Consider the following 18104-nt stretch of genomic DNA (forward strand, 5'->3'; position numbering starts at 1 on the left):
ATGGGCCTGTAGTTTCAGCTACTCAGGAGACTGAGGTGAGAGGGTGGTTTGAGCCTGGCAGATCAAGACTGCAGTGAGCCAAGATCGTGTCACTGCACTCCAGCCTCGGCAACAGAGCAAGACCTTGTCTCCCCCAAAAGGCACACTTTTAAAAATAACTTTTGATAATTACAGATAATATATGTAAACCTGCCATATGTGGATGACACAATAATTGGGTCACTGGTAATTTTTTTTGACTTGTGAAATATTAATAGGGCTCAGTATGACAAATCACTCTGATTTGTCTAAATTCTTGACAAATTAGAAATAATACATTACAAAAACATATAGTCATGCTGAAAATGCCAAAAGACACGGCAGCTTAAGGAATATGTTGGTTGTAAAAGGTAGATGTCTTCAAACTTCCAGTAATGGTTAATGAATGCATTTGAACCAATCTTCTACTAAGGACAACTAGAAAGGCTGGGCAAAAGAGTTTTAAAGTCTGTTTATAAACATTGAAGTGGTAAGAAGATAGTGAAGAATTGCTGAGAAAAGAGAGCAGAGAGGATCAGGGAGCATGAGGATAAGCCCACCCAGCATGGTTTTGCCCTTCCCCTGACCATGCCAGAGCACACAGCCTGGAGACCAGGGAATTGCCCAGCCCAGTCCACCACGACGGCACCTAACACTCCTCCAGGGGACCTGAGGTTGGGCTTACCAATTCTGCCACTATCACCACAACTGATACCTACCCGCATGCACCATCTGCAGGTCTGGAGTCTGACCTGCCCAGCCTATCACAGCCACTACCAACACCAGTATCCATTGTTTGGGACTCAGAGGGTGGACCTGCCACTGCCACTGCCATTGCCCAAACCATGCTGGCTGCCCAGGGGCCTGAGAATCCTTTCACCTGCCTGGCCCAGCATAGCCACTTCGGGTATGTGATTAAGTCACTTGGAGGACCAAGAATTGGCACATTTTTGAATACTTTTGGAAAAGTATTCGAATTATTGGGGTCCCAGATGGCAAAGACAGAATGAAAAGGTTAGAAAACCTATTTAATAAAATAATAGATGAAAACTTCCAAAGTCTAGCAAGAGATTTGGACATCCAGATACAAAACCTCTGAGATCCCCAAGCACATACAATGCAAAAAGGTCTTTTCCATGGCACATTATAATAAAACAGTCTAAAGTCAAATACAAAGACAGAATTTTTTAAATGGCAAGGGAAAAGCCTCTAGTCACCTATAAAGAAAAACAAAACAAAACAAAACAAAAGATACACTCCAACCTTCCAGGCCAAGAGAGAATGGTATAAAATATTCAAAGTGCTAAAATAAATAAAGTGCCAGTGAAGGAAACTAAATCCAGCAAAATATCCTTCATAAATAAGGAGAAATAAAATCTTTTCCAGATAAGCAAAAGCTGATACAGTTCATCACCACTAGCCCAGCCCTGTAAGAAATGCTCAAGGGAGTCCTAAGCCTGAAAGCGAAAGGACAATACTTACCATCATGAAAATGCATAGGTAAAGCCAGGAGGTGCAATAAAGTTAGGTTTGAGGCTTGGTCGTCAGGTACTGGCCGAGTAAGCATTGCAAACCACTTAAATTCCCCAAGATTGTTAGACGTAGAAAATACACACTAAGAGAAAAAACAACAAGGAATACACAAAACAACTAGACAACAATTAACAATATGACAGGAAGAAAACTTCACATATCAGTAATAACCTTGAATGTAAATTGATTAAATTCTTTACTTAAAATATATAGATGGGGTGCCGTGGCTCATGCCTGTAATCCCAGCACTTTGGGAGGCCGGGGCAGGAGGGTCATTTGAGGTCACGAGTTTGAGACTAGCCTGGCCAACATGGTGAAACCCCATCTCTACTAAAAATACAAATAAATTAGCCAGGCATGGTGGCGGGTGCCTGTAATCCCAGCTACTCAGGAGGCTGAGGCAAGAGAATCTCTTGAACCCGAGAGGTGGAATTTGCAGGGAGCCAAGAACACACCATTGTGCTCCAGCCTGGGTGACAAGAGTGAAAACTCCATCTCAAAAAACAAACAAACAAAGAAAAGATATATTTATAGACTCGCTGAATGGGTATTAAAAATGTTGCCCAACTCTGTGTTACCTGTAAGAAACGTACTTTACCTGTAAAGACATATATAGACTGAAAGTAAAAGGATGGAAAAAAATAGTTCACACAAACAGAAACCAAAAATGAGCAGTAGCTATACTCATATCAGATAAAACAGACTGAGTCAAAAACAGCAGGCTGGGCACGGTGGCTCATGCCTGTAATCCCAGCACTTTGGGAGGCCAAGGCGGGCAGATCAGGAAGTCAAGAGACAGAGAACATCCTGGCCAACATGGTGAAACCCCGTCTCTACTGAAAATACAAAAAATTAGCCAGGCAGGGTAGCAGGCACCTATAATCCCAGCTACTCGGGAGGCTGAGGCAGGAGGATGGAGTGAACTCGGGAGGCTGAACTCGCAGTGAGCCGATATCGTGCCACTGCACTCCAGCCTGGGTGATAGTGCGAGACTTCATCTCAAAAAAAAAAAAAAAAAAGCAAAAAATAGCCGGGTGTGGTGGCACACGCCTGTAGTCCCAGCTACTTGGGAGGCTGAGGCAGGAGAATCACTTGAACCCAGGAGGTGGAGGTTGCAGTGAGCAGAGATTGCGCCACCGCACTCCAGCCTGGCGACAGAGCAAGACTCTGCCTCAAAATAATAAATAAATAAATAAATAATGGTGAAAAAAAAACACAAAAATAAAGGGATCAATCCAGCAAGAGAATATAGAGGATATATATGTACTCAACACTTGAGCACCCAAAATCATAAAGTAAATATTGCTTAAAGAAAAAATAGAGCTAGACTTTGATACAATAATAGTGGGGTAATTCAACACTTCACTCTTAGCATTAGACAGATCATCTGAATAGTAAATCAACAAAGAAACATTGAAATTAAACTGTACTTTAAACCAAATAGCCTTAACAGGCATTTACAGAACATTTTGTTCAACAACTACAGAATACGCATTTTTCTCACTTGTACATGGAACATTCTCCAGAATAGACCACATGTTAGGCCACAAAACAAGTCTCAACAAATTATTAAAATCAAAATCATATCAAGTATCTTCTCAGACCACAAGGAAATGAAGCTAGAAATCAATACCAAGATAAATTTTGAAAACCGTACAAATAAGTGGAAATTAAACAACATGCTGCTAAACAACCATTGGGTCAATGAAGAAATTAAGATGGAAATCAAACATATTTGAAACAAATGAAAATTGAAACGTAACATACTAAAACCTGTGGGATACAGCAAAGTAGTGCTAAGAGGAAAGTTTATAGCAATAAACACCTACAACAAAAACGTGGAAAGAATTCAAATTAGCAATCTAATGAAGCACCTCAAGGAACTAGAAAACCAAGAACAAACTAAATTAAAAATTAGCAAAAGGAAAGAAATGATAACAGTCAGAGCACAACTAAATTAAATAGAGACTAAAAAAAATACAAAGGATCAATAAAACAAAAGCTGGTCCTTTGAAAAGATCAACAAAATTGATAAACTGCTAGCTAGACTAGCCAAGAAAAGAAGACTCAAATAAACATAATCAGAAACGAAAAAGCAGACATTGCAACTGATATCAAATAAAAAAGATCATCAGAGATTATTACAAATGAACAGGAAAGTCTACAGGAGATGGATAAATTCCTGGAAACATACAATTTACCAAGATTGAATCAGGCAGAAATAGAAAACCTGAATAAACCAATAATGAGTGGCAAGATTGAACCATTAATAATCAGCTTTCTAACAAAGAAAAGCCGAGGACTGGATGGATTTACTGTCAAATTCTACCAAATGTATAAAGAATTAATACCAATCCTCCTCAAACCATTCCAAAAAAATTGAAGAGAAGGCAATTCTCTCTAACCCATTCTACAAGGATAGAATTACCCTGATACCAAAATCAGACATGAATACAACCAAAAAAGAAAACTACTGGCCAATATCCCTGATGAACACAGACACAAAGATCTTCAACAAAAGACGAGAAGGGGCTCAGGGAGAAAAACCTAACTTCTGAAATCACTTGTTCCATGGAGCATTTGCTGATTCCGGAGAGGACAGCCAAGAAGCTTGTGCTTTTGACAGTGTTGTGGGGTTTGGAGACATAGCAGATTCAAACTCTTGGTGTTATATGTGGAAATTTAAAAAATATGGCTTAAAATTCTTTGACAGTTCTCCCATTTAGAGGTGAAGTCTGTGCCCTCTTCACTGATACCTAGGCAAGTTTGAAGCACCAGGACATAATAAAATTGTTGTAGAAGTGACAAAACATCATACTTTTTGAAATTCATTGATTAAATGTATTGCAGCTTCATTATCACACTTGCTTTTTGGAGCCTGAATCAACATGTTAAAAGTCTGACTACTTTAAGGTCATCATGCTGTGAGGAAATCCAGGCCATGTTGAGAGGCTGCGTATATGTGCTCTAGTTGACTCTCAGCTGAAACTGCAAACTATGGCCAGCATCAATGGCCAGACATGTGGGTGAAGATGGCTTCTTATGATCTATATCATGGATCCAGGAATTCAAGGAGTCATCGCTCTTTTTATAAAAAAGGTGGCTAAAAAGAAATGGATAAATAAAAAGAAAAAAGAGCACATTAAATTGTTTGTGTTCCTGGCCAGGCGCTGTGGCTCACGCCTATAATCCCAGCACTTTGGGAGGCCAAGATGGGCGGATCAAGAGGTCAGGAGATTGAGACCATCCTGGCTAACATGGTGAAACCCTGTCTCTACTAAAAATACAAAAAATTAGCCGGGTGTGGTGGCGGGCGCCTGTAGTCCCAGCTACTCGGGAGGTTGAGGCAGGAGAATGGTGTGAACCCAGGAGGCGGAGCTTGCAGTGAGCTGAGATCACGCCACTGCACTCCAGCCTGGGCAACAGAGTGAGACTCTGTCTCAAAAAAAAAAAAATTTTTTTTGTGTTCCTTTAAATCTAGCTCCTTACTACATTTTGCTCCGTTGTACATAAGCTAATTATATCTATTGAAAATTACTAAATGGCAATTAAGAATTAGACTTTTCATTTTAAAAGTCAAGCATGGAAAGAATGTGTAAATAATTTAATCTCCAGTGACTATGCACAGGGAACAGTGACATATTGTATAATTAGCAGTATGACCACATTGAGCATTGCACAGAGCCTTGCAGAATTATGAAGCATAAAAAGAAATTATTGGCTTTTGGAGAGTTTTCTTTTCTCTCTTCTTTTTTTGTAATTTCAATCTATATCAGTAGTGGAAAGGTCATAGCAAAATATGGAGAATCCAAATGGTAGATACAACCTGATATCTTGTGGAACAAGGCATACAACAGCAAAGCAACACCAGTGAAACCAAGGACACCAAACAGTCCCCAGAGAACTCCAGCTGTCATGAGGTCTCTTCTATAGCCATCAGGTCCTGAGGAAAGAAAGCAGTGCTTCAGCCCCAGAGGTTTAAGACTTGGGCCCTTCTTATAAATGCTATATAGGGATGTTAAATACAAATTCAAGTAAGAGATCATTGAAGTGTAGTCTGTACTCTTCAGGTTAGTGTGGGGAGAAGAGAAGCCACTGGACACTGAGATCACCTTCCCCCTCTTCACACACAGCAGACATCTCCAGGCTGGTGAGACACAGCCATTGACATCAAACTCTGTATCCAGGTAACACCCACCCACCTGAGATGGAGACTGGCACTGCCTCACTGCACTGGGCCCCCAGGCCGTTGTTGGCCTCACAGGAGTAGTTTCCAGAATGTTCTGCAGTCAAAGAGAGGTTGAAGGAGGCCCCTCCTCCAGAGGGGGCCGAGCTGTTCCCAAGGGTGACATCCTCATGATAAAATTGGTACAAGATTGGGGGAGAGCCTCTCAGGGCCTCACAGTGAAGCTCCAGCAGGTCCCCCACTGCAGCCTGGGCCCCAGGAGACCTGAGGGTGAGGACAGGGCGAGACACTGGAACTGACAGACACAGAGGGGCTATCAGAAAAGATTTGTGATGCCTCAATAGATTCACAAACTCCCAACCTGCAGGCTCAGCAAAGGGCCTGGCCCCATGGCTGTTGCATATTTTCCATTCCCACATTCCCACTAGAACAGTTAGAGATAATTTTCTCAACAATATATTTAGACGTTTGAGGGGAATATCAGTTCTGGGTGCTGCCTGCAGACACGGTCATCTGTTGTTCTCATCTGATTGTTTTCCTGTGCCCATCCAGCCCTCTTCATATTTCTTTTTTTTCTTTTGTATCCTATAATTTTTTATTAGGAAATAATTTTAAGATTTCTATAATATTATAGTTGTTCCTGGGAAAACTGATACATAGGAGCATTTCTAAACATATATTTAGGTATGTTTATTCAGCCCAGTTCAGGACTATAGGACTGGGTTAGAATGGAAATGGCTACTTGGCTACAACACCAGGTAATTTTCCACACCAGTAAATCACCAATAACATGGCTCCAAATGTCTCCCTTTGGGTGCAGTTTCGGCAAGCTAGAAACACTCTAATCACTTTGAAGGAGATGACATAAAATGAAGCAGGCTGTTACCACTATGAACCTTTTAGATCCATGACACTCCCTGGCCCAGAGCCCAAAGGTTTCATGTAATAGATGTTTTATCATCCTATCGTAGGATTGCAAGAATGCTTATGCTTCATAATCGATTACAGCCCTCTTTATATTTCCTTCCACAAAAAGAAACAGGTCAGCAGTCTAACCTGCAAGCGTAACCCATTTTCAAATTGCTTTTGGTTCTCCACAGCACTAATCCCTGGGGCCTCCTGAAATTTCCTCAGGACACATGTGTATCATGACCTTGGTCTGGGAATTTCTGGAAGATATGAATGAGAGTGTCACTCACTTCTCACAGGGATATTCACCACCTTGCTCTGGATAGGCACATGGCCGTTGTCAGCTCTACAGTAATATTTGCCGGCATCACTCTCTTTCACAGCTGGGATCTCCAGCTCTGCTGACAGGGAACGCTGGGTTTTCTTTCCCATACTGGTTCCTGTGGCCTCTCTGTACCAGGAGAATGTGACATTTCCTGTACCCCCAGCCACTGAGCAGAGCAGGATCAGTTTTTGTCCTTCAGTCACCTGTCCCCCGGGGGCCCGGATCTCCAAGCTTACATTAGAGATGGGGATTCCTAGATGGATATAAGACAACAGGTGAGAACTCTAAGGGAAACTCTGGGAACAGGGTTTGACTGATTCCATTCTCTAATGCAAAATGTGGGAATGTGGAGATTGTATAGATAATCCATTATAAGCATTCCTATGGAGGTAGGGAATCTATAACAATTATCCTTCAGGAATGTGGATAAAGACATTTGAATGTCCTAACCCTGGCCAATTTCATGGGTAGTAATATTTAAAGACTTTGTGATAGATCTCCATGAGACAGGAAACTGTTCAATTTTTTGGATGAGTCAAAGACACCTTTTGCACAGAATATAGAGGGGCACTGATATCTTCAGTCTTGCAGTGGAAAAGTCATTATTCCTAACAACGGTCCCAATAATAATTCCTCTATCATTTTTAATTTCAAGGTTCAACCAAATACAACTTCTCCTCTGACCACTCTGTTCATTCACATCTACTTTTCCTGATGCTACATTGCCTTCTAATAAGTCAATTTGTGTTGCAATCTCATCATGTGGAGACATTTGGAGAGCCATTAGACAGCAGGTGGTTTGCCTTTTGAAGTGTCCCACCCACTACTAAATGCCAAGGCATACAGTCAGTGATCAATGGAGTCTTGATCAATGAATATTACTTAACTAACAACAAAAAAAGAAAGATTATAAGGGGCTTAGTGCATTTCTGATTCTTATGAAGTAGGAAGCCAGGAGCAATCTGGAGGGGTTTTTGTTATGTTTTGTTGTTTTTTTGAGACGGAGTCTCGCCCTGTCGCCCAGGCTGGAGTGCAGTGGCGTGATCTCGGCTCACTGCAAGCTCCACCTCCCAGGTTCACGCCTTTCTCCTGCCTCAGCCTCCCTAGTAGCTGGGACTACAGGCGCCCCCCACCAAGCCCAGCTAATTTTTTGTATTTTTAGTAGAGACGGGGTTTCACCGTGTTAGCCAGGATGGTCTCTATCTCCTGACCTCATGATCTGCCCGTCTCAGCCTCCCAAAGTGCTGGGATTACAGGCGTGAGCCACCGCGCCCGGCCGCAACCTGGAGGGTTTTTCTAGCTTAATTTTCACTTTCCTCAAGGACAGGAGTTGAACAAAGAAACAGACTAGTAGTCCAAGCTGAAGCTATAACACTCCTATCTTTTTTTCTCCAGGCTCAGCCTCACTGATACTTGCTCTGCACGTGAATCTGGGATTGGAGGCTCTGTTTTCTGATCCTGTGAGTCACCGTTTCTGCCTTGCACCAGTAAGACCCTGTGTCTTCACTCCACACGGCAGAAATCTGGAGCTCCGGAGAGCTGCTCCAGCCTGACCCCAGGACCTGGTTTTCTCTGAAGAAGCAGAACTGGAGTTGAACATCCAACCTCTGTGGAGAGAGCCGGGTCTCACATTTCAGGCTCACTGGACCCCCTTCGATGGGCTGGAAGGAGCTGGCAGTCAGCACAGGACGTTGAAAGAGCTCTAGAGAGAAGGATCACAATAGTCCCCAAAGCAGTGACAGCTAAGATTCCTGCTGAAAAGCCTCTGGCAAGAAGCAACCCCAGCAAACAGGACATTCAGAGCTAGACACCTCTCACCCATCATGGCTCCTTTGATGATCAAACCACAAGCACTCCCGTCTATATTTAGCCCATGAGCAGCTTTCCCCTACCCAGTACCCACCCTGCCTTGCTGCCGTGGTCTCTCACCCAGCCCATCCCACAGAAGTCAGGGTTTTACCTTGGACTTTTATCTTTACTATATTTGAAGTTTTATCCCAGAGAAAGAGTTGTCCTTTGGTACTACAGAAATAGTTACCACTGTCACTTAAAACTGCACTTTGGATAAGGAAATCTGAGAATTTTTTGAAAACAGATAACTCTTTGTTATCCTTATGGTAAGCCATCTTCTGAATTTTCCAGTTCTGTTCTCCCTGGCATTTCAGAACGATGCTGTCTCCTTCGAAGACAGAAGAGGGCGCCACAAGGGTCAGCGAATCTGGAAGAGAAGGAGGGAAACCGGATTTGCCATTTCTGCAGAGAACCCAGACAGACTCCATTGGCAGTGAGGTGGTCTCAGGCATAGCCTCTACTTCTTTAAACAAGATGGAAGTTCCAATCCATGCCTTAATTACTGAGAGTTTCATCCCATGTTTCCTGAGGGGATATCTTAGCTTGTGCTGCTATCACAAAATTCCATAAACTGAGTGGCTTATCAATAACAGAGATTTATTTCTCACAATTCTGGACGTTGAAAGTCTGAGGTCAGGGTGCCAGCATTGTCAGGTTGTGATGACGGCCATCTTCTGGGCTGCAGACTGCCAACTTTTCGCTCTACCGTCACATGATGGAAAACTAATCAGCTAACTCTCTGGCCTCTTCTTATAAAAGCATTAGTCCTATTCATGAGGGTTCCACCGTCATGACCTTATTACCTCCCAAAGGCCCCACCTACAAATACCATCACACTGGGATTAGGGTTTCAACATATGAATTTGAGGGAGATACAAACATTCAGTCTATTGCAGGGGTGTCAAGGTAAACATGGTTTTTTAATGTTCATGAAGGAGTGTTCTGATAAACACCTCATCTTCAGCCTTCTCCATCGGTGACACCACACAGGGAAACCATTGTCCTTAGCGGGCACTTTATTTTTTCATCCTCCATGCTGTCATCCAGCCCTCAGAGCTCTATACTGTGTTATAAATTCAGGTCCCATCCCCTCTTCTTACCTCACCAGATAAAACCATCAAGTGGCGTAGATTATTGGGAATATGCCTGTTACTGGAATAAGATCCAGTATCTTTAATTATCTACTTGAATTCTCCACTTGAATGCCTTCAGAAAATTTTTCTCATCCATTCAGTGAAGTAGAGATTATTTTTAATCCAAGGCTTAGTTCCTAGAGACTGATCATATAAAGAAAAAAGCTATTGCCAAAGACAAATGTCCTCCCCAGAGGTTGTTTTCCTTAGATTGGTCACAGGTTCTCTAATTTTGACCCCGTCACTTCATTTATTTACGGTACCAGACTATGTTTTGTGTCTATGACATCTTCATATTTTATGATTATAGTAGAGGATTCTGACCACAAAGTAAGGAATTAAGTTATATCTCAAATAAAAATCTTTCCTGTCACTATTCAATTGTATCATGACTGTCAGATGTGTAGTAGAAGGAAGCAGAAGTCAATAAAATAAGAGATGTGGTGACTCATAAAATACTACTGCAGAGCTACAGCCAAAAAGCCACAGGAAATCTGTGGCATTTGGAGGTATAATTTTTGGCAAAATGTATGGTTCGCTACTGGCTATTTCAGCAGAACCAGAATTACTTGTTAGACATTGGGGAACAATCTGATTATATATATATATATATATTTAGCAGGGCAGAAAAGGTTGGTTGGAGAAACAATTAACTTAATTCAAGATTTGTGGCCTCCTTTGCAAATGGATACTAGATCTCATGGAAACGCCACCGTGGGACTCGGAATCAAGCCAACTTTTAAACCACTGATACAGTCTTCCTCCACAAACAGGAAAGATTCCTGTAGAGAACACCACTGGGGATAGGAAGACGAGTCATGATTAGAGACACTGTTGCAAAGGGCATGACAGGCAGCCTCACTGGCTCTGGCTGCCACTGACAAAGTGAGACTTTGAGTTGGTCGTTAGGAATTATTCATATCCTCACACTGCATGGTAAGAGGCAGACTGCCCCAAGAGCAAGCCAAAGGATGGAGAGCAGTGAGGAGTGGATGATCTTGAGTCCATAACAGCAGACCAGCAAGTGGGAGCAGCAGGGTGAGCCGGCTTGCAGCTCTGAGAGGAATCCACTGGGGAGAGATGCTAAAGCTCGGAGGCCTGGAAGTGAACTTGCGGCCAGAGAGAGTCATCGTCACCACCAGGAGATACTGATTGATTTCAGTTCTCACAACGTTTAACCTAGTTGTGAAGAGCCAGATCACACTGTTTTGAATCCAAGTCTACTATTATTAGCTGTGTGATACTGGACAAAGCACTTTACTCTTTGGACTTTGGTTTTGTAACCAAGTATCCCATTTTTCTAAGAAAAAAAGAGGAAGTATTTTTACCTTTTTCATGCACTTATAATTTTTACCTTCTCTCCATCATCCACTCCTTGCACTGAAAGCATATCTAGCTATGTGTTTACTTAAGAGGTTCCAGAGACAGAAACTCAAAGCAAACCAGGTGCCTCTAGAACTCTCTCTCACCAGAAGAGTGCCTCAATTTACAACCTAGTTCTGCCCACACTGGTGCCAAGCCAAATCACTTCAGATGACATCCAAAGCAAGTCATGTAGACTTGCACCACCTCGCTCCCTCCCCTGCATGCTGTTCACACCAAGTCCCCCTTTAAAAGCCCTTGCCTTCTGCCCGAGAAGTAGAAGTGGTACCCTCAAGGCAGAAGCCTGTACTACTTCCCCTCAGCTATGTTTTGGAATTAAAAAGTCACTTTCTTTCTACCAGATCTCTCTCTTGTTAATTGGACTTTGCAAGCAGTGAGCAGCTGGACCTGTGTTCAGTTACAGTTTCTCAACTGAGAAATGGAACAACAAAGAGCATTTGCCTCTCATCAGGCAGTCTTAAGGATTCTGTGAGAGAAGCACACAATGGTGCTGGCATTTATGGACCACTCAGTGAGCCACAAATCTCACAGTCTTGATGGGGGATGTCTTTGTAGCAGAAGCTAATGATGGCTGAGGAGGAATAAGAGGTCATCATAACTGCACTTCAAGAGCAACCAAAATAATGGGTTTCAGGTCTGTGAGATGGGGTGGACTCGGGAATACTGAATAAATGAAGGTGACTTGAAGTCAAACCCTCTGAGAGTGATGTCCTACCTATAGGGTAGACATAAGTTGGTTCATAGTTTCATATCAGGGAACCCCAAAGAGTCATAATGGGTTTGTGTGACAGTTTGTATCCACTTGCTTCTAGCATGGCTGTGATGGCTCCAATGCCAACCACCTGGCAGTTTGAAGGCCTCAGCAGAAGTGTGCTGGCTCTACACTGGCTGTCATTGTGGTGCAACCTCAAGAGTTCTAATCTGTATGCACCATTAGCAGGGTACAAGGAGTCAGAGGCCCTAGAAGGGGAGGGCAACAAGTCCCAAAGCTGACTTGTTCATCCTCAGGGAGTTCCACATCCTCCAGAAACTGGCTGAGAGTGGCTCTACCTGCAGAGGTGCCCAATAGAATCATGCTGACCCCCAGAGGGTATAGAGGAGAACTGCAGTGGAGGGACAGTGGTAGGGGGCAGGGAGAAGGGTAGGTTGTGAACGAGAAGTTCTTAGGCAGAGCAAATAAATAGGAGCACAAAGATTTAACTCAGAGCAAGATGTACAGGACTGAATAATGTTTTTTCACAAGAATTTCAGTGAAAAATATCTTTACCAGAGCAACAGCAAAAACTAAAAGCAAATGGTATTCAAAGCTTTGCAAGGGCAAAGTCCCAGGTGGTGAGTGCAGTGTATGGGTGGGGCTGAAAAGAGGAAATGGGGTGGAAGACTGCATTGAGGCAATGGATGGGGACAGAAAGACCTTTTCAGCTGCTCTGCTGAATAGCATTTTCAAACCTTGCAGGGGATTGTAATTCTCAACAGGCCAGAAACTTTTCCCCAGAGCCAAGACTGGGGTTCAGAGGCCAAGTGACTGCCCAGCCTACATAGCAGGTATATAGCAAAGCCATGATTTCAATTTGGTCTTTCTGGCTATATAAGTCCTGCTCTTTCCAGTACATCATGCTGAACTAAGTTCTCTCTTACTCTTTTTAAAAAGAAAAGATCTCAAACTTCTGAAGAACATCTCAGTTTTCTGAGAAACTCTTGCTAAAGGAAAAGAAAGAGAATGAAGTGGCTGTTGCCCTGTTCTCTGAATGGTCGTAGGTGATTCACTTCAGGGAGCCTGCTGTCTTGGCATGATTCCACTAATGGTCAGAAACCTCCTGAATATTGATCGAGGTTTCCTCTAATTTCCATCCAGACAGACAGTGGAGTGATGGGTATCACAGGGTGGGACTCCTGGACCTTATGTGGGACAGAATGAATGCAAGAGACCAGACTTGCTCCTGAGCAAGTTCCAGGTAGGACCCCTGAATGTCTCCCTGGACACTCTTGTTCCATTCAAGGTGACAGCAGGATCTGCTTTTCCCACACTGTTCCTTAGAGCCCAAAGAGCCCCTTCCACTTGGTAGCCAGCATTCAATGGGCAAGGGAACAAGTCTCCCTTTCTTTAGATTTTGTCTTGGCTCATGTGAAGATTCTGTATATAGAATAAAATATTTTTCCCATTGACTTCCTTCACTGAGCACAGATTTAACTCAGAAAGAGTGAAATAAAATTAGCTTTATTTCACTCTTTATGATTAGAACAGTAATACATGCATTTTTAAAAAATCAAAACTAAATACTAAATCTAGAGCACGGGTTGGCAAATTATGGCCTGTGAGCTGGCCAACACTGTTTTGGTAAATAAAATGTTATTGGAACACAGCCATCCTCATTCGTTTACATATGGTCTATGGTTGTTTTCCTGCTACCACAGCAATGGCATTGAGTAGTTACGGCACACACCTGAAAAGCTTAGCCTATTTACTCTCTTGCCTTTTACAGGAAAAGCTTGCTGATTCCTGAGCTAGAGCTAGAGAAGCAATGAGGACACATGTTTATTCTGACCCTGCAGAAGTTTGTAGTTCTGACACATTCCTCTATAAATAGCTGTTTTCAGAGCTGTAAAAACATTCAGCATTCAGCCAGACAATAAAGAGGCATTACAGTCCTATGGGCAGGAAAACAATTCTCTCCAAATTGTTCTTTTCTTCAATCTGCATGTTATTGCCCTTCTTAAAGCCAGGCTTTTAAGGAAGAGGCAAGCATGTGGGGTCTTGAGAAGGCTAGGTGGTACCTGGTCACCCAGACATGCAAGTGGTGTTGGAAACAGGCTGCGTGACCTCAGAACATGTCAGCCTAGAGGGCAGTAATATTAGGACATCTTCACAGGCTTTCCAGAGCCACCTCTATAGAATCCTGGGGTAGTGGGGTGACTGATATGCCAGAGACCAAGAACAACAAAGACAAGGAGGACTCACCTGCCTGTTCAGTGACTGCATCTGTGAGGAGATCAAAAGCCAGAGATTAGCACACAGCATTTGCCCTCATAATTTATAAATTTATATTACTCTGGTAAATTGCTCAAAAACTTCTTTCCATTTTCCCTTTCTTTTCTATTTCCCTAATCTCTTATTACTAACAATTCAATCTCCCTCGAGCACACATCTAACTGTCATTCATTGTAGTCAAAAGGCAAGTTGCAAACCCAATGCTTGACTAAAGGGATTGTCGAGAATACCCATGTTGGATATTTAGTGACTCTCCTTGATTTCATTTTCCTTCCACCATCCCCACCACTCTATCTCACACTCTGACTTTTCAAGTGGTAGATAGACATGACAACACGATCACAAAGGGCTCATCAGGAAACATACATTGTGAGAGTTCCAAGAAATCAACAAATCAGTCTCTTTCCTATGGCCATATTTCACGTTAGAGCCCTTTGTATTCCAATAACAAATATTTATTTAGTGCCTACACAGCATAGAGAAAGGGATCTTATTTACTCTCTCACCCAGGCTGGAGTACAATGGTGCGATCTTGGCTCACCACAACCTCCACCTCCCGGGTTCAAGCAATTCTCCTGCCTCAGCTTCCCGAGTAGCTGGAATTACAGGTGCCCACCACCACGCCTGGCTAATTTTTGTATTTTTAGTAGAGATGAGGTTTCACCATGTTGGCCGGGGTGGTCTCGAACTCTGACCTCAAGTGATCCACCAGCCTTGGACTCCCAAAGTGCTAGGATTACAGGTATGAGCCACTGCACTCACCCAGGAATCTTATTTTCTAGCAGCAGCTGTCATCTCCCTCATTGTCCACGATTAAACAGAGGAATATTAGCAAAGGGTCTCAATGCATCTGCTGAACCCAAATCTTATAGATAACAATTGAATAATCGGTGTTCATGGAGGAGAAGGGCATTGCTAAATGCTAATATTATGAACATTTTACTATGAGAACATTATATTACTCAATGAGATCTAAGATATCAAAATAGCAATTCATGACCAGCAAATGGAAAAGTGGTCCACCTTGAACATTAAGCATTGTGCTTAATGCTTAATGGATGTGCTGCAAATTCACTGTCCTCAGCCTACTTCTTTGCATCTGCCTTTGAAGCCCAAGCTGCAGGCAGGACCTGAGCATCCCCACCAGTCCCTGGGCTCCAATAAAACCTCCAACCTTTTGGGAGCAGTAGACCTCATTCAGCTGCCACCTCACTTCTCAGTCAAATTATTGAACTCACCAAAGATGACCAGCAATGACCACAGCAGCATGAGGACCTAATCCAGCTATTTGAAAAGAGATGTACTCTTGGTCACCAACTGGAGACTCTGAGCAGGCGATGAAATGTGGTTTTCAGAATAGGTTTTGTATAATTAGCAAAAAAGGAAGTAGAATAGTGCCACTATGTTTAACCATTATCTTTGTCCTGGAAGGGCTAAAACAATTATAGCTGATCCTCTCAATGCCAGAGAAATTTTGTAACTTGACCCTCATTATGATACCTAGCATTTACATATGGGTTGCAATGAGTCAGACACAGTTCTAAGTGCCTCATGCTTACAGAGTTATTTATTACCTTCAGCAAGTTTCTGAATTGGCACTATCCCCTTTCACATGAATAAGGAAATTGAGGCACTAGTAAAGGTAAGTGTCTTAGTCCATTGGGGCTGCTATAAAGAATACCTTAGACTGAGAAATTTATAAACAACATAAATTTATCACTCATAGTTCAAGAGGCTGGGAAGTTTAAGATCAAGGCACCAGTAGATTCAGTGTCTGATGAGGGCCTGTTTCTCATAGATGGTGTCCTCTATGTGTCTTCACATGATGGAAGGAGCAAACAAGCTCCCTCAAGCCTCTTTTACAAGGAGACTAATCCTTTTCATAAGAGTTCCACACTCATGACCCCTAAAAGGTCATGTAATAAAAGGTGGGTACCTTTTATTACTATTGCATTGAGGATTAAGTATCAACATAAGAATTTTGCCAGGACACAAACATTCAGATGATAGCAGCCAGTAAAATGACCAAGATCAGCTTAATCAATTTCTAGTAGTAACAGATCTGGGATTCAAACCCAGGCAGCCCAGTGTCACAGTCTGGCTCTTAAACATTGTGCCCTATTATCTTGATATATTGCTTCTCAAGGTTCATAAAATAATAAGGCCATTGTTTCAATAGCTCATATTTCTTAAGTAAAATTTTTCGTAGTCATTCGATGACTTTCTAGAATGAGATTTTACTAAACTTCAAAACACTTGCACTATATTGCTGAAAACATTGCCATCTTTCTAATCTGTAATCACAACATTGCCTATTTCTAATCTGCATTGCTTTTTGTACCCCAGGCTGATCCTAATACAGTTATCTCACACAAAGCAAAGCGCGTGTTATGTGAACACCTATTATCATGCTCACTTTGATTAGATGTAGTCCCAGTAGATGTTGTCTCATCAGTGAACCTTATGCAGGATGAAACTCTAAACCAAAAAATCACAGGTGCTTATAAATGAGGGACTGACTGAAAATATTCATAGACTCAATGTTACCTGTTCAGGTACTTAACATTTACCTGAATACTTAACATTGAATTTTTAACAATTGGATACTTAACATTTTATTCTCACTATTATCATAGTTTTACTTTGAGAAAGGCTAATATTTATATGTGATGGTCATTAAAGCCTTGCTTATAATAATGTAAAAAGAAAATACTAAAAATATATCACAAGGAGAGATGTGTGTTAAAAATAAGTTATGTGTCAAATGCTGTGGAAAACCAAACAGCCATTAAAATAATTCTGTGGAATAATATTTAATAGCAAGATAAGATGTCTAGGATATATGATTAAGAAAAAAGTGGGCTGGGTGCGGTGGCTCACGCCTGTAATCTCAGCACTTTGGGAGGCTGAGGCGGGCGGATCACGAGGTCAGGAGATCAAGACCATCCTGGCTAACACGGTGAAACCCCATCTCAACTAAAAATACAAAAAATTAGCCGGGCGTGGTGGCAGGTGCCTGTAGTCCCAGCTGTTTGGGAGGCTGAGGCAGGAGAATGGTACAAACCCGGGAGGCAGAGCTTGCAGTGAGCCGAGATCGTGCCACTGCACTCCAGCTTGGGTGACAGAGCAAGACTCCGTCTCAAAAAAAAAAAAGAAAAGAAAAGAAAAGAAAAAAGTGGCTGCAGAGTGCACTTTATCTGCTGCACATTATCCCCTGCTCTCCAATAAAAAGTGTCTGAGACAATTCGCACCACAGAGTTACTGTAATTATATCCAAAAAATCTAATTAAAGCTGATTTTTATTTTCCTTATTTTGCTTATCTGTGTATTCTAGTATTCTTACAATAAACATATGCTATTTACGTACTTTTTAAAGATTCATTATAAGAAACTAGGTTTTATGGCCTCTCTCATCTTAAAGTGTTGAAAACAATACTACTTTAACTTTCTGCATAGGCAAACGGTTTGTATGTGTTTGAAAGTGTAAGTTACTCTTTCCCAGGACCAAAGCTAGTCACTGATCATCAAATCTTGCCTACTGAATGGGTTTCTAGGTGGCCTATAATTCCTTCCCATTCTGACCAACCTGGAAGCTATAGAAATTTTGTGGATGGGAGGGAATTAAGGAAAGGAGTACAAATAGGATCATGAAAAAGTTGATGGTAAATTGATGGTAGGTACAAGTTTTTCATAGACATCAAGGAGATTTTTCAAAATAATCCATATCCCTTCACTGATTTCTATATACCCTCTATGGAAATGTGGCCTCTTCAGTTA

At 42.0% G+C, this 18104-nt stretch overlaps 1 protein-coding gene across 16 annotated transcripts in view, besides 1 other annotated feature; it reads right to left on the reverse strand.

The window, feature by feature from the left end:
* Positions 1 to 15655, reverse strand: part of FCRL2 (Fc receptor like 2) — a 31400-nt gene extending 15745 nt beyond the window's left edge. For 6 of the 16 annotated variants that reach the window (NM_001159488.2, XM_011509976.3, XM_011509975.4 and 3 more), the window contains exons 1-7: positions 15566 to 15655; positions 14298 to 14318; positions 8932 to 9189; positions 8389 to 8673; positions 6937 to 7224; positions 5754 to 6032; positions 5378 to 5494 (exon numbers count right to left, since the gene is read on the reverse strand). In NM_001159488.2, coding sequence (NP_001152960.1) covers positions 5378 to 5494; positions 5754 to 6032; positions 6937 to 7224; positions 8389 to 8673; positions 8932 to 9189; positions 14298 to 14318; positions 15566 to 15596 — 1279 coding nt within the window. In that variant the 5' untranslated portion in view covers positions 15597 to 15655. Of the gene's footprint in view, positions 1 to 5377; positions 5495 to 5753; positions 6033 to 6793; positions 7225 to 8388; positions 8674 to 8931; positions 9190 to 14297; positions 14319 to 15565 lie in introns of those variants that run through there. The other 10 variants (XM_017002319.2, XM_047430273.1, XM_017002318.2 and 7 more) reach the window with 8 other exon arrangements.
* Positions 8138 to 9337: an enhancer, noted in NCBI's record as "BRD4-independent group 4 enhancer chr1:157739405-157740604 (GRCh37/hg19 assembly coordinates)". NCBI's record gives its function as "activates an origin of replication core promoter dependent on BRD2, P300/CBP, MED14 and CDK7 cofactors, and independent of BRD4, by STARR-seq in HCT116 cells {active_cell/tissue: HCT116}" and the evidence as "EXISTENCE:reporter gene assay evidence [ECO:0000049][PMID:35650434]".
* Positions 15656 to 18104: the final 2449 nt, after the last annotated feature.

The sequence above is a fragment of the Homo sapiens genome, chromosome 1 (genome assembly GCF_000001405.40).
Source record: "Homo sapiens chromosome 1, GRCh38.p14 Primary Assembly".
In the NCBI taxonomy this organism is placed as follows: Eukaryota; Metazoa; Chordata; class Mammalia; order Primates; family Hominidae; genus Homo; species Homo sapiens.